This window comes from Homo sapiens, chromosome 2 (genome assembly GCF_000001405.40).
Source record: "Homo sapiens chromosome 2, GRCh38.p14 Primary Assembly".
NCBI classification, from domain to species: Eukaryota; Metazoa; Chordata; class Mammalia; order Primates; family Hominidae; genus Homo; species Homo sapiens.
Genome location: NC_000002.12, coordinates 64607310 through 64622664, shown reverse-complemented (window position 1 = coordinate 64622664; position 15355 = coordinate 64607310). Strand labels below are relative to the sequence as shown.

The window sequence follows — 15355 nt, the reverse complement described above, 5'->3', positions numbered from 1 at the left end:
AGGGGATGTGGAGTACGGATGGCACCCCTGCAGGGAGAAGGTCTGGCAACATCATCCCAGGCCAGGTCATGGATTGAGATGATTTGTGTGCTAGTGTTGGGAGAGATTTTTCCCTTTCCCAGCTGAAGAAATGTTGTGCTCTCGCCTGGCCCCAAGTGGTGCTTTGGGCTCCCTCATGAGCATTCCAGGCCTTTGGCTGGGGAGAAGGGAGAGTTTGCTGGCAGCTGGTGCTGAGGGAGAGGGGTTGCCTCGCTTTGCCCTGAAGGAGATGGAACTAGGCAGCAGTTTTTTTTTTAATTATTTTTTAAATGTTTATTAATAGGCTTTTAAGAAAGAGCATCTTTAGGTTTACAGAAATTTTTTTTTAAGTACAGAATTCTCATATACCCCTTCCCCCAACCCCTCAAGTTTCCTCTGTTATGATTATTTTCATTTGTTTGTTTGTTTTGAGATGGAGTCTTGCTCTGTCACCCAGGCTGGAGTGCAATGGCACTATCTCTGTTCACTGCGACCTCCGCCTCCTGGGTTCAAGTGATTCTCCTGCCTCAGCCTCCCAAGTAGCTGGGATTACAGATGTGCACTACCGTGCCTGGCTAATTTTTTGTATTTTTAGTAGAGACGGGGTTTCACCATGTTGGCCAGGTTGGTCTCAAACTCCTGGCCTTGTGATCCGCCTGCCTGGATCGGCCTCCCAAAGTGCTGGGATTACAGGCGTGAGCCACACTGCCCGGCCCCTAGTTTCCTCTGTTATTAACATTTTGTATTCATGTGTTACATTTGTTACAAGTGATGAGCTAATACTGATACATTATTATTATTGTTGTTGTTATTATTTTGAGACAAGGTCTCACTCTGTTGCCCAGGCTGGAGTGCAGTGGCATGATCACGGCTCACTGCAGCCTCCGTCCCCAGGTTCAAGTGATCCTCCAGCATCTTGATTAGCTGGGACTACAGGTGCTCATGACCACGCCTGGCTAATTTTTCTTATTTTTTGTAAAGCTGAGGGCTTGCTCTGTTGCCCATGCTGGCCTTGAACTCCTGGGCTCAAACTAGCCTCCTGGCTTGGCCTCCCAAAGTGCTTCATGTATTATTATTATTAGCTGAAGTTTATAGTTTATATCAGAGTTCACTTTTAGTGTTGTGAGTGCTGTGGGTTTTGACAAATGTATAATGGCTACCATTATTATAGTGTCATCCAGAGTAGTTTCACTGCTCTAAATATCCCGTGTTCCCACAATTCATCCCTCGCCCCTCCCCAGGAACCCGGGCAACCTCTGATCTTTTCACTGTCTCCACAAGTTTGCCTTTTCCAGAATGTCATATACTGGAATCATATAGTATATAGCCTTTTCAGACTGGCTTCTTTCACTTAGCATTACACATTTAAGGTTCCTTCATGACTTGATAGCTTGATCGTTTTTTAACCGTGAATAATATTTCATTGTCTGGGTGAACCACTATTTATTTAACCTTTACCTGCTGAAGGATATCTTGGTTCAAGTTTTTGCAATTTTTTGAATAAAGGTGCTATAAACATTTATGTGCAGGGGGGACATAAGTTTTCAGTTCATTTGGGTAAATTCCTGAGGGTGATCGCTGGATTATATGTAAGAGTATGTTCAGCTTTGCAAGAAACTCCCAAACTGCCTTCCAATGTGTGTGTATCATTTTGCATTCCCACCAGCAATGAATGAGAATTCTATTGCTCTTCAGCCACTTCAGCATTTGGTGTTGCCAGTGTTTGGGACTTTAGCCATTATAATAGGTGTGTAGTGGTATCTCATTGTTATTCTAATTTGCAACTCCCTAATGACATATTATGTTGAGCATCTTTTCATGTGTTTATTTGCCATCTGTATGCCTTTGGTGAGATGTCTGTTCCGATCTTTGCTCATTTTTAATTGAATTGTTTTCTTATTGTCGAAGGGTTCTTTGTGTACTTTGGATAGCAGTCCTTTATCAGATACGTGTTCTGCTAATATTTTCTCCTAGTCTGTGGCTCGTCTTTTCGTTCTCTCAACAATGTCTTTGGCAGAGAAGTTTTTAATTTTAATGAAACTCAATTTGTCATTTTTTTCTTTTATGTATCATACTTTTGGTGTTGTATTTAAAATGTCATCACCAAATCCAAGGTCACCTAGATTTTCTTCTGTGTTATCTTCTAGAATTTTTATAGTTTTGCTTTTATATTTAGATCTAGAATCTATTTTGAATTTTTTTTTAGGGGTGGAGTCTCACTCTGTGGCCCAGGCTAGAGCACAGTGGTGCAGTCATAACTCACTGCAACCTCGACCTACTGGGCACAAGCAATCCTCTCACCAAGTAACTGGGACTGCAGGTGATCACAACAGCTTTTACAGTACATCTTGAAATGGGGTAGCGTCAGCCCTCTGACTTTGTTTTCTCCTTCAATATTGTGTTAACTGTTCTAGTCTTTTGCCTCTCTACATAAACTTAAGAATTGCTTTGCCAGTTCCACAAAAGAGACAACTGGGAGTTGATTATGATTATATTGAATCTATAGATCAAGCTGGAAAGAACCGATATCTGAACAATATTGAGTCTCACCATCCACGAACATGGAATATCTCTCTATTTATTTAGATCTTTGATTTATTTTACCAGCATTTTATTGTTTTACTCATATAGATTTTGTACATGTTTTGTTAGATTTATACTAGAGTATTTCTTATTTTGAGGTGCTAATGTAAATGGTATTGTCTTTAATTTCAAATTGTAAAACATTCAACATTTTAACATTCCAAACATGAATCAGTTCACAATCTGACCCTCGAAATTTATTTTTCCCACTGAACTTAGACTCTCAACTCCTTCTCTAGCCAGACCTGCCCTCTGAGCTCACTTTTTCCTATGTGTCCCTCACTCAGTGCCCTGTCATTGCACCACCTTTTCTGAGCTGAGACTGCCACTCCAATCTCAGTCCTGCCTCCATTCCTTTGCATTAAATATGCTCAGCACCTCTATCTCTGTATTACGTTGAGCTCTCTGAAATTACTGTTTTTAGACCAAAAAGGGTTAAATATCTAGACTAGATGAGATTCTACTATGTCTCACTCCTTCTCATCCTCCAGTTCTCAGCTGAAATGCTCTCTCCTCAGAGTAGCCTTCTCTGACCACTCATCCCAGCCAGACATATCAGTCTGTTCTTCTCCAGCATTTGTCACTATCTAAAGCAAGGGTGTCTAATCTTTTGGCTTCCCTGGGCCACATGGGAAGAAGGAGAATTGTCTTGGGCCACACATAAAATACACTAATACTAATGATAACTGATGAGCTAAAAAAAAAAAAAAAAAGGAAAAAAAAACTGCTAAAAAAACTCATAATGTTTGGCCAGGCATGGTGGCTCATGCCTATAATTACAGCAATTTGGGAGGCCAAGGTGGGCAGATCGCCTGAGGTCAGGAGTTCGAGACCAGCCTCGCCAACATGGTGAAACCCCGTCTCTACTAAAAATACAAAAAATTAACTGGGTGTGGTGGCACATGCCTGTAATCCCAACTACTCAGGAAGCTGAGGCAGGACAATAACTTGAACCTGGGAGGCGGAGGCTGCAGTGAGCCGAGACCATGCCACTCCACTCCAGCCTGGGTGACAGAGCAAGACTCTGTCTCAGGAAAAAAAAAATCTCATAATGTTTTAAGAAAGTTTACAGATTTGTGCTGGGCTGCATTCAAAGCTGTCCTGGGCTGCACGTGGCCTGCAGGCCACAGGTTGGACAAACTTGATCTAAAGCTATCCCATTTATTCATTTGCTTCCTTGTTTCTTACTGTTTTTCCTCCTCTAGCATATAAACCTCCTGATACCAGGGGTCTTGTCTTGATCAACAAGCCCCTCAGAGACCAGCTGGTCTGGAGACCCCAGATACTTGTCCCACCCTAGGGAAGGGGAAGCACCCCTTCACCCCAAACTTGACTGATGTCATATTTCCAATGAGCTCTGTGTTTAGGAATGAAGCCTAATTTACCTGACATAGAACAATAGGGAAACATGATATTTCTGTCCCTAAATATTGAGGACCAAATTTGTAATTCCGTGATTGTGTGGTTGAATAGTAGCATGGATTGTTCAAATAAGGGATTCTGTTGGATGCAGAGGGGCTGAGTGAGAATGAGCTCTGGCCCAGAGACACCCATTTGTTTCCTTGGCTACCACCTCCTCCAGCCTGTTCTATGCCCAATAACAGAACAGGCTTCCTTACACCCATGGTGCTTCTCCAGCTCTGACTCTGATCTACAACTTCAGTGGCTCCCTATTGCCACAGGAAATATTCATTCCCCTTCCCATACCTTCAAGGCCCTGCTCTCTCCTGCCCCACTGACCCCTCCTGGAGTCGCTGCAAAGAAGTCCCCTTCTTTCCCCTCTGTCCATCCTTTGGAGCTCAGATTAAGCCCCAGCTCCTCCAGGAACATTCCCCATCCTCCTGCAGTATGCCCCCGTGTGCCTCCTGTCAGTGTCCCAGTTAGTCCGCTCAGCTCTCAGGGTTTCTTTGAGAATGTCTGGGGCCTGTTTTAGAGCTCAGGCTCTGGAAGAACAGGAACTGAGTCCAGAGACTGCGCACCAGCTTGTGAGTGTGACTTGTTGAAGTCAAAGGAAGAGAGGCTGACAGGCCTCCCAGCCAGAGAAGAACTTTGTAGAGGAAGTCTCTCCTTCGTGGGGACCAGACTCCCAAGAACATACCAGCTCAGAGAAGTCGGGTGTGGTGCCCTCGAGGGGAATCCATGCAGCAGTTCCTCCCCAGCTTCCTCCCCTCCCCACCCTCAAGTGCGGAGCCAGAACCCAGCTGACTCAAGTGGCAAGAAAAAAATGCCCCCTCCCCACCCCCCCGCCAAGCTGCTGCACATCTGTGCCCAGACAAAGCCAGCTATTAATCCTTGCCTTTGTGTGAGTGTTTGGGTGTTGAATTCCACTTGGATCTGCTGCCTTTTGGAAGGGGAGATTGGAGGGGATTTAGTGAAGACAAAAGGAACCCACTATGGGGAATGGTGGGGGGGGCAGGGGAGCTAAGAAACCCAAGCGCATTCACTCTTAGCCTGGTGAGGGTCCTGGGAGCCCAACTTTAGCTAGAGCTGAGTGGGGCACCTGAATTCCCAGGGTCTGAGTCCCGAAAAGGGGCCACTCCCCGGAATAAAAATACCTGTTTCTCAGGGCCTGACAGCAGCTCAGCTTGCCTTTCACTCCAGATGCTGCCCAGGGCAGTGGCCCCAGCCTAACAGGGCCTGACCCTTTCAGACTGGAGAAGCCCATTGCCCAGGTGAGTCCAAGGGGGACAAGACAGGAGGAAATAGGGACTAGGAAGGAGTCTGGAGCCTCAGAGACTGAGTCCAGATGGAGAGAGAATCTCAAAGCCACCAGAAATCCCCAGCTGAGTCAACAACACAGCAATAAAGCCAGAGGGCCTGTGGCAATGTGGCTGCTCAAGGCCTGGGTTGGGCTCTCGGGAAGAGTTCTTGGGTACCTGGTCAGGCAAAAGTTAAGTGTTCAGGGAAAACAGTCCACACAAATTCTATCTTTGGCTCAAGCATCAAACACATAGAATAGCCCAGAACAGGATGACAGTGTGTGTGTGTGTGTGTGTGTGTGTGTGTGTGTGTGTGTGTGTGTACAGGGTCTTAGAATGGTGGGCAAGTCTGTGGGCAGCACCGCCCCAGCAGGTGTTGTTTGATTAACTTACTTAGCAGAAGCTCTGGTCTAGTTACCAGATTGCTAGGAGAGCAGGCTGGGGTATGAATTGAAACACCCTGATCTGCCCCTCCTACTTTGTTAATTTCATTTAGAAAATGAGATTTCCCCATCTGTGGGTGCTTGATTCTAAAGCTCACCGAGCTGTCAAGTTATACCAAGTACAAGTGACTTCAACTCTATGTGGGTGCGGAGACACACCCCCCAAAGCTTCCTCCCCGTTTTCCCCGTTATCTGAAATGTGTGGTCATGTCATGTCATTCATTCATTAAACAGTTGGCCAAACTACTGCACTGCAGGGCCCAGTTCTGGTTTAGCTGCTGGGCAGCAAATGCAAAATGTGGTTGCCTATTGACACTTGTATTCAACTAAGCTTCTGGGCTTGTTTAACTGTGTTCTAAATGGTGTTTGTACATCCACAGCTATTTTATTCTTTCTCTACCTTAACTCTAAAAATAAAAGAGTAAAGTAGAGGCATTCATTCATTCATGTATCCATTCCTTCAGGAGAGGAGAAGGCAAGGCTGGCTCCAGTCTTCTCCAAACTCTTTCTTGGTCTTTGGGGAAGGGAACTTAGGACTTACAGGTGCTCCACCTGCTGTTGTAAAGGTGCCCTCCTCCCATCACAGTTTCTGAGGACCTGGTCCCAGGCAACCCCACTCTGGAGGGCAAGGGAAGAATAGGAGGGGCCAGTTCCTGCCCCAGGGACTGTGGCCTCCTCTGAGTTAGGAAATGGGCCCAGCTTCTCCAGCTTCCAGATGGGGCTTTTTAGAAGCTCATACAGCCACTTCTGTTCCCGATGTTGTCTGAGGGCCTCTGACTGTTGCTGAGCCACCTCTGTGTGTCTGGGTGGCAGGCCCACTGCTGCGCTGACCAGAGAGCTCTGCACCTAGTGTAGACCCTGCTCTGCACTAAGGAGCCAGAGACCTTGCGGACAGCTTCCCCTCCGGGCTGGCACAGAGAGTCTTGGAGGCATGGAGATGGTCATGGGGATTGAGAGAATTGGTGAGGGTGGTGGTTTAGAATCCCCAAGTCCCACATTGTTGTAACGCACAGAGGGCGACCAACAGTGGCAAGATGAGTTCAGTGCCTTGGGCGTCTCTGCCCTGACACCACAAGTGGACTGTGATAAATGGAATTGGGGTGGGAGGAAGGGTCAAGAGGGGGGCAACAGGACATTATGGGATGGTGTGACAGGGCAAATGGGGAAGAAGCTGGGGTCAGAAACCCTAATCAAGTAACAGGTCCAGGCACGGAGTCCATACCTTCATTCTGGAGTCCGTGGCTCTGGGGCTTGGCTTCACTCTCCACCTACCCTCTGAGGATGGCTGCAGGTGGGCTTGCTACCATCACAGCCCTTGGGTAGGTAAGGGTCTAGCTTCCCAAATTAAACGCAGTCAGGGTGGCATTTACTGAGTGTTACGTGCCAGGCAATGTGCTAAGCCCTTGACATTGTACCATCTCAGTAAAGCCTCATAACCACCCACGAGGTCAATACTGCTATTACTCCCATTTGATAGCTGTGCACACAGAAGCTTAGAGAAGTCAAGGGCCTGAACTAAAGTCACATGGCTACACAGAGCTGGGGCCAGGACTTTGGAACCCAGGCTGCTCTCTACTCAGTTGAAGCTCTCTCAGACCTCTAGATCTTCATCTTCCTCCCCAGCTCCACCTCCTTCAGCCTTTCACAGCCCAGCAGCGTGGAGAAGGCCTGGAAGAGGAGGGAAAAGAAGTCCAGTTTGAGGCTATATTTTGGCTCCTTGGTCAAAGGTGGGGTGTGGAAATGAGGGTGGAGAGTCTGGGGATTTTCTGGAGATTTCACTGCACCAAGATGTTGACTGTCTCCTCCCAGAGGAAAACAGATGAGCAAACTGCTCATTTTTTTAAATTAAATTTTTAAATTTTCATTAATTTTTTTAATTAAAAATAATTTTTTCCTTTTAACAAACACAAATACAGTATATCCTTTGCAGGGAAAAGCTATAAAATACAGAAAGCAAAAATAAAAATATAAAATACCTTTGTAGTACAAAAAGGTGATGACTACTAAAACCTTGCTTTTTTTTTTTTTTTAGACAGGGTCTTACTCTGTCACCCATGCTGGAGTGCAGTGGTACAACCATGGCTCACTGTGACCTTGAACTCCTGGGCTTAAGGATCTTCCTGCCTCAGCCTCCCAAGTAGCTGAGACTACAGGTACGTGCTATCATGCCTGGCTAATTTACAAAAAAAAAAAAAGAAAAGAAAAAAATAATTATAGAGACAGGGTCTCCCTGTCTTGCCCAGGCTGGTCTGGAAGTCCTGGCCCCAAGCAATCTTCCCTCCTTAGCCTCCCGAGTCTTTCCAGGATTACAAGTATGAGCCACCACATCTGGCCTGCATATATTTTTGCAAGCTCTTTCCTAAGTACTGACATATACACGCATATACTTTTCATATTCTTCTAATTTTTTTACTTCTATTTCATGGAAGGACATTATTTTTTTAAAAAGCAAAAATGGTATTATTATTTGGAAACTGCTTCTTTTTTCACTCAATAGTTTATCTGAACATCTTCCCTAATCAGGACATAGTCATCGACTCTATTACATTCAGTGACTGTGTGGCATCCTGTTTTATGGCAGCACCGTAATTCATTGAACTCATCTCCTAATGGTAGATATTTAGGAATTTCCAATTTTCTGTTCCTGCTAAGATGAACAGCTCTAGCTAAATCCCAGTGCATCCTTATAGAATCTTAATGTGAAACTGATGGGTGTAAAGGTGCATGTTGCCCAGCTGCCCTCAGGAGAGATTGTAGCTATTTATTCTCACAGTGTTTGAGACTCGCCACAGCCCCACCCCCAACACACACAAACATGTTGTTGTTATTCCTGGGAATATTCTTTCATTAGAAAAAAAAAGGGTTGACAACTTGATACGTGAAATGCTATCTCATTATTGTTTTATTTAGCATTTCTTTAATTATTAATTGGGGTCAACAGGTTTTCATGTGCCCATTAGCCATTTTTATTTTGTCTTTGTGAATTGCCCATTCATGTCTTTTGTTCATTTCTCTATTGGATATTCTTTCTAACACAGTTGTCTTATTTTAGGTGAGTAATTCTTAGCTCTGGCATATTAGAATCACCTGGAAGACTTTTTAAAACACACATATCACACACACAAGCACACATACACACACCCCACACACAAGGAAAGCAGGCAAGAAAGCATCCCATCTCAAGATAAATATTTGGTGGGGCCTGGGTATGAGTATTTTTTGAAGTGTTCTTGTGCTTCTAATTTGCAGCCGTGGTTGAAAACCACTGTTATACATCAGATTTCTCCCACTGTCTGGCTCCAAATGCTTTCACTGCAGAATCTATTCTCATTTCGTTGACACCCAGTTTTCTCTTGTGAAAAATGGGCAGCAGAACTGCAAAGCAACACAGCACCCCCTCCCAAATTCTGAAAATCCCATGGGGGAGACCGAAGTTTCGGGAAGGAGGGTGAGACAGACGTTGTGGTCAGGCTCTTTGCCAGGTGGATTGGAAAAAATTAAAAGAACTTTCTCAAGCAACGAGACTTGCCCTGTAGACAGTGTGCGCTCTCAGTGGAGGAGGAGAGAGCTGGGGTCTTATGGGACATTTGCTTTTCTATTGCACCCATCTTCAGATACATAGCAATCTTACCCTTCTGAGGACTTTGAGGCTGAAGATTAGCACTTTATCTGAAGCAGTTCATCTCCTTTCATGAGAGACTGGAGAAGTTTGGGCCCAAGGAACTGAGTCCTTCAGGAGAGAACCTGTCAAGGCATCAGAGGGATCACCTGGGGATACAGGGGCTCCTCCACCACCTCTAGCCCTCTTGAGGGATTTATGACATTCTCACACTTACTTGAATTCATTTCTATTAAAATGCACAGGAGCCGCTCCCCTTCCTCTTCACCTCTGTTCCACCTCAGGGCGTGGGGTCCCACCTGGGGGACAGGATGGAATGAAAGGGTCTTTCCAGTGTTCAGTCAGGAAGGTCCCTGGAAACCCCCAGGCTGGCTCAGTGCCCTTCCATGTTGGAGACTGCTGAGGCCTCGTGGAGGATGACAGCAAATTTGGGTCCTCCAGGTGCTGTTGCTCCTGAAGTTGAAAGAATATGGTCAACGGCCTGAATCCTAGTCCACTTGGTGTCAGGTGTGTGGTCCCGGGCCTCAGTTTCTGCATCTGTAAAATGGAGATAGTAATGTTGATATTCAAGGTTATAACAGGACTAAAAACAGAGCACATACAACACTGTAGATGCTTGATTAATGCCAAGGGTGATTTGTGGAGGTCCCTTCATGCCCTCACCCTCTCCAGTCAGGGCTAAGGGCTTTGAGTTTAGCTCCAGACTCTCCATCCTTTCTTTTTTCTTCTGAGATGGAGTTTCACTCTTGTTGCCCAGGCTAGAGTGCAATGGCGCGATCTCGGCTCACTGCAACCTCCTCCGCCTCCCGGGTTCAAGCAATTCTCCTGCCTCAGCCTCCCAAGTAGCTGGGATTACAGGCATGCTCACCATGACCGGCTAATTTTGTTAGAGGTGGGGTTTCACCATATTGATCAGGCTGGTCTCAAACTCCCGACCTCAGGTGATCCACCCGCCTTGGTTTCCCAAAGTGCTGGGATTACAGGCGTGAGCCACTGTGCCCGTTGACTCTCCATCCTTTCATCCCCAAGCCATCCTCCATTATTCTGTTGCTCAGGGGGCACAGGAGGCAACCCCCACCCAACTGGTCCCCCAGCCTCCAGGGCGGTGCAGCACCTATGCCAGAAGCTGTGCCCCTTGGCTGGCATCCTGTATCCTGTCTCCCACCCTTTCCCTGTGAACCCCAAGCAACCTCAACCAGTTCCTCGCTACCCTTGCACTTTCCTGCCCAGACTTGACTTTAGAAATTCTATTGTAAATGTAATTTTTATTGAGCACTTACTCTGTGCCAGGGACCATGTTTTGTATTCATTACCTTATTAATTGCTCACAAAAACCTTTCATTATCCCATTTTACAGACGGGAAAGCCAGACTAGTTAGTGAAACCTGCCCAAAGCTACAGGGCATCAGGGAGCAGAGCTGGGACTCTGACCCCACCCTGCTCTGCTGACCTCCTAGGTGCCAGCTCCCAGGGAACTTAGATTTCAGGGGATGTCTTCTGTCCTTCCCCTGAGCTCCCACTGCGTCCTGCCCCTCTCTCTCTTATACACTTGTCCCACCCTGCCCCACACTGCGATTTTCTGGCTACCTCTTATCTCCATTGACCATGATGAGTTCCTCCAAGGCAGAAAATACGTCTTTGTAGCTTATTCATCTTTGAGTCTGGCACAATGCTTAGAACATTGCAGGTTCTTAAATTATTTTTCTAATTCAAAAGTAACATGTGCTCATTATGGAAAACAGACAAAATAAAGCAGAAACCAAATATCACCTATGAACCCATCACCCAAAGAAAATCATTGTTAATATTTTGACAAACTCTCTTCCAGTCCTTTTTAAAAATATATGTTTCCTTAGGCAAATAATATGTATTTTGCATAAAGTAGGTATCATACAATACCATTTTCTATGCTGCTTTTTACCTCATATCATGAGCAATTCTCCATGTCATTAGAACTGTTTTGAAAATGGGATTTTTTGATGGCTGCAGATTGTTCTCTCATGTGACTGAGCTCTCTTCTTTAAACCCCTCCCACATTGTTAGGTTTTTCCGTTTGTTTGTTTGTTTGTTTTTGAGACAGAGTCTTTCTCCATTGCCCAGGCTGGAGTGCAGTGGCTAGATCTTGGCTCACTGCAACCTCCGCCTCCTGGGTTCAAGCGATTCTCCTGCCTCAGCCTCACAAGTAGCTGGGATTACAGGTGCCACGCCGGGCTAATTTTTTGTATTTTGGGTAGGGATGGGGTTTTGCCATGTTGGCCAGGCTGGTCTCGAACTCCTGACCTCAGGTGATCCACCCACCTCCTTCCAAAGTGCTGGGATTACAGTTGTGAGCCACTGTGCCCAGCCTATTGTTGGTCATTTAAGGCCTCTCTGATTATTCCCATAGAAGAAATTCCTGAAGTAGAATTGTTGGGATAAACAGGCTCTTGACAGCACAATTGGCCCTGAACAAACACCTGCTCTATCAAACCCTCTCCCATCCTCCCCAAGCAGACCAGCCAGAAAGCCCCATCTTCTGGGGCCCTCCTCTCATCCCTAACCCCCAGCCCCCAACCTCTTACAACCCATTCAAAGGCTTAGAAGCAGGTGAGAGGGTCACCTGGAAGATGGGACTTGAGAGACCTGGCCGGCCTATCCCAAATCTCCCCTCGCTCTGATCCGTACTCCACCATCAGAATCATCCCCTTGAGTCAAGGGCAGGGTGATTCAAAGGTTGTTGGCTGCAAAATGGACTTCTGGTGGGAGATATTGTGCAGTGAGCCAACATTCCTTAACACACCACGCTTAGCCCTCCCTGTCACTAGGTTAACAGCAGACACTTGGGTCTCAGGGGATGCGACACATTACAGAGTTATGAATGTGTTAAATTTTATTGTAAATATTATGTAAACATATTTTAAAATATTCTGGAAAAAAGACAAAAAGTTATGGTCACATCTTTTGAATTATTCCACATTTTTCTAGGTGGAATAAGAAGGGACGTAGTTCCTTCCTATGAAATGGGAATAATCTTTAGTGAAGGTTGGAAGTATCTTCAAATGTATCCCAAACCTTCTGGGATAGATTTTCACTCAGCCTATAAATGACGTCCATGAAGCAAGGGTCCACGTTCCTGGCAGAATGCTGGATATGTGAGCCACGCCAGGTGCTGTGAGCCCCTCAGAGACCATTGACAATAGAGGGTCAGAGTGCTTTTCCAGCTCCATTGCCAACAACTTGGGATGTAATCTAAACAGATGCTAAATGGATCAATCCTTTGAGGAAATTTGTGTCAGTTTCCAAGTCACTCCTGGTCATCATCCAGGAAAGACCATTTTTATTAAAGTACCCCAGGGCTGCCTGCAGGAACCATTTTCCCTGTCTCACCAGTCAATAATCAGCAGGACTCCCTGCTATTTCAGGGAACAAAGACAGGGTCGCTGTCCCCGAGAGGCTCAGTCCACCCTCCCGCTCTGTCCACCCTCCAGCGGGGTCTGGGCTCCAGAGCGGAGGTTCTCAAGCTTCCGCAGCGTCAAAACCGCTTGGAGGTCCACGACACCCAGTCTGCTGGTGCAGGGGTTCTCATCCAGAAGATCTTGGGTGGCTACAGGAGCCGCATATTTTTCTACCAAGGTCCCCGGGGATGCGGCTCTTGGCCCCAGGACTGGGCCCAGGAGGTCAGAGAGAGTGACCGTCAGGCGCGGCGCCGCGGGGAGACGGCCCGGGCTCAGATCCCAGGGTGGAGGCGGGGGCGAGCGCCCGGCAGAGGGGACGGGGGGCGCCGAGGGGACCTGGCGCGGCCGCCGGGCCTTGGGAGCGCGACGCGGAAGCCGCCGGAGGCCGGAAGCTGGGGCGCCCCCGAGCGGGCGGGCGGCGGACCTGCGGCTCCGGGCGGTTCGGCAGCGCAGCGCGGCGCGGCCGCCTGCAGGCTCCCAGGCTCGGGTCCAGCCGCCACGACCGGCTCGCGTGGCTCCGGGGGAGCGGCCGAGAGTGAAGCGCGGAGAGGGCGCCTCGGAGGCTGCCGGGGCGGCGGGGCGGTTGTCCTCTGTAGAGGGAGCGGAGCTTCCCCCTGCCCCCAAGAGCACCGGCAGCCCCGGCCCCCCGCATCCTGGCATCCCGGGCCCGGCGGCCAGAGCAGGCCCTGCGCCCCCTCGGCTTTCTGGTCCTCGTGCGTCCCCCGGGGCAGAGGCGCGAGGAGGGACGGCCGGCTGAGGCCTGTCACGCCTTCACTCCCGAGTGTCCAGGCGGACGGGGTCCCTGCCTCTCCAACCCCTCCTCTCCCTTGGCTTCCCCCAGGGCACAGAGCGCTCCTCCTTGTCCACAGGAGACACAAGGCTTCAAACGCACACCCCCACACCCCAATCCTCTCCAAACACACTCAGGGCGCTGGCCACTGGTTCTCCTTCCTCCTTCCTTCCTTCCTTCTTCTGTCTTTTTTTTTTTTTTTTTTTTTTTTTGACAGAGTCTTGCTCTGTCGCCCAGGCTGGAGTGCAGTGGCACGATCTCGGCTCACTGCAACCTCCGCCTCCTGGGTTCAAGCGATTCTCTTGCCTCAGTCTCCCGAGTAGCTGGGATTACAGGCATGCGCCACCACGCCCGGCTAATATTTTTGTATTTTTAGTAGAGACGGAGTTTCACCATGTTGGCCAGGCTGCTCTCAAACTCCTGACCTCAAGTGATCCGCCCGCCTTGGCCTCCCAAAGTGCTGAGATTACAGGCGTGAGCCACCTCGCCTGGCCCTTTTTTTCCTTTTTTTTAAGAAAGGAAGATCTCGCCCCTTGCCCAGGCTGGATTCGAACTCCGGGGCTTAAGCGATCCTTCCGCCTCAGCTTCTCCAGCAGCCAGGACTGCAGGTGCGCACCACCATGCCCGGCGTAGCCACCCGTGTTCTATCCCCAGCACAGCTCCTTAGATGGTGACTTTTAACAGCTCACTTCGCCTCCCTGTCCTCAGTTTCTCCTTCTGGAAAGGAACTGGATTGGATGGGGATGGTTTCTGAGGCTCCTTCCAGCTCAGTTGTCCACCTTAAAGGTGTAAGTGGCAGAGGGTGGAGCGGGTCTGGTTCAGGGAGGAGAGCTGGGAGTAAAGGCAGGCCAGGGGCTGCGAGGTGGGTGGAGGAAAGGAAGACAGGAGGGAGGAGAGCGGGGCATGGAGGATAGCTTTGCCAGCCTAGCCCACCAGTCCCGGCCTCTAAGAGCAGGCTGGCAGAGCCCCAAGAGCCTATACCACGGAAGGGCCCCATGGGAATCCCCTCACTCTCTGGGTGCCTGAGTTTGCAGATATCTGTTTGCCAAAGGATGAGGGAAGGAACAGGAAGGAACGTGCCGGCAGGACTGGAAAATCCAGCTGGGCAGGAGATAGCTGTGGCTGCACCTCGCACTGGAGGCTGAAGCTTTGCTTGGCTCTGCCCCTGTGTCACGTGTCAGGTGAGGCTGCTGGACCCCTGGAAGCCCCGCCAAGGGAAGTGACTACCACCAGGCCGCAAGCTCCTGTGCAGAAGTCTAGCAGCCTTTAGCTTTGGGGCCATACACATGTGCTTCCAAGACGGTAGGCAGATGACGTTCAATTTAAATCCACTTTCCTATACGTTTACTCAATGAGTTCAAAGATGCTTTTCATTTACAAGCTTGGCGGCAGCTTCCAACACATTAACCCAAAGGCCTTCATGTTCTCCCCAGCCAACCCCTTTGTCCCTCTGCAGAAAGGGAACCTCCTGCAAAATGTCCAGATGGTTCAGAGAAGTATATATGACAGGCTGGTTGCAAGTGGCAGGAACGCCCCTCTAAGTAGTTTAAAGACATATGTATGGGTGTGTGTGTGTGTGCACGCGTGTGCATGTATATAATTTATTTTTTGCTCAAATAATTTTGGTAAAGGTAATTAACTAAAGGTAAATAACTAACCTTTACCAAGAGCAGGGATGTGGCTGGGCCCAGAATGCAAGACTCTCCGATAGCAGCTCCCAAGCTTAACAAGTTAAAGACACACTGCAGCTTTTCTCCAAAATTCTAGTT

General features: G+C 48.1%; 1 long non-coding RNA gene across 1 annotated transcript, besides 3 other annotated features; it reads right to left on the bottom strand.

Annotated features, from left to right (window-relative positions):
* Positions 1 to 6182: 6182 nt before the first annotated feature.
* LINC02579 (long intergenic non-protein coding RNA 2579) lies at positions 6183 to 15353 on the bottom strand. Its single transcript, NR_034023.1, has 4 exons — positions 15245 to 15353; positions 9580 to 9899; positions 9375 to 9487; positions 6183 to 7411 (listed from the first exon to the last, which is right to left on the bottom strand). It is a non-coding gene; the product is annotated as a long intergenic non-protein coding RNA 2579 (long non-coding RNA).
* Positions 12928 to 13607: a silencer, noted in NCBI's record as "silent region_11558". NCBI's record gives its function as "represses an Ori minimal core promoter by ATAC-STARR-seq in GM12878 lymphoblastoid cells {active_cell/tissue: GM12878}" and the evidence as "EXISTENCE:reporter gene assay evidence [ECO:0000049][PMID:35858748]".
* Positions 14117 to 14616: an enhancer, noted in NCBI's record as "H3K4me1 hESC enhancer chr2:64835183-64835682 (GRCh37/hg19 assembly coordinates)". NCBI's record gives its function as "activates a minimal SCP1, AML or CMV promoter by ChIP-STARR-seq in naive H9 embryonic stem cells {active_cell/tissue: H9 hESC(naive)}" and the evidence as "EXISTENCE:reporter gene assay evidence [ECO:0000049][PMID:30033119]".
* Positions 14617 to 15118: an enhancer, noted in NCBI's record as "H3K4me1 hESC enhancer chr2:64834681-64835182 (GRCh37/hg19 assembly coordinates)". NCBI's record gives its function as "activates a minimal SCP1, AML or CMV promoter by ChIP-STARR-seq in naive H9 embryonic stem cells {active_cell/tissue: H9 hESC(naive)}" and the evidence as "EXISTENCE:reporter gene assay evidence [ECO:0000049][PMID:30033119]".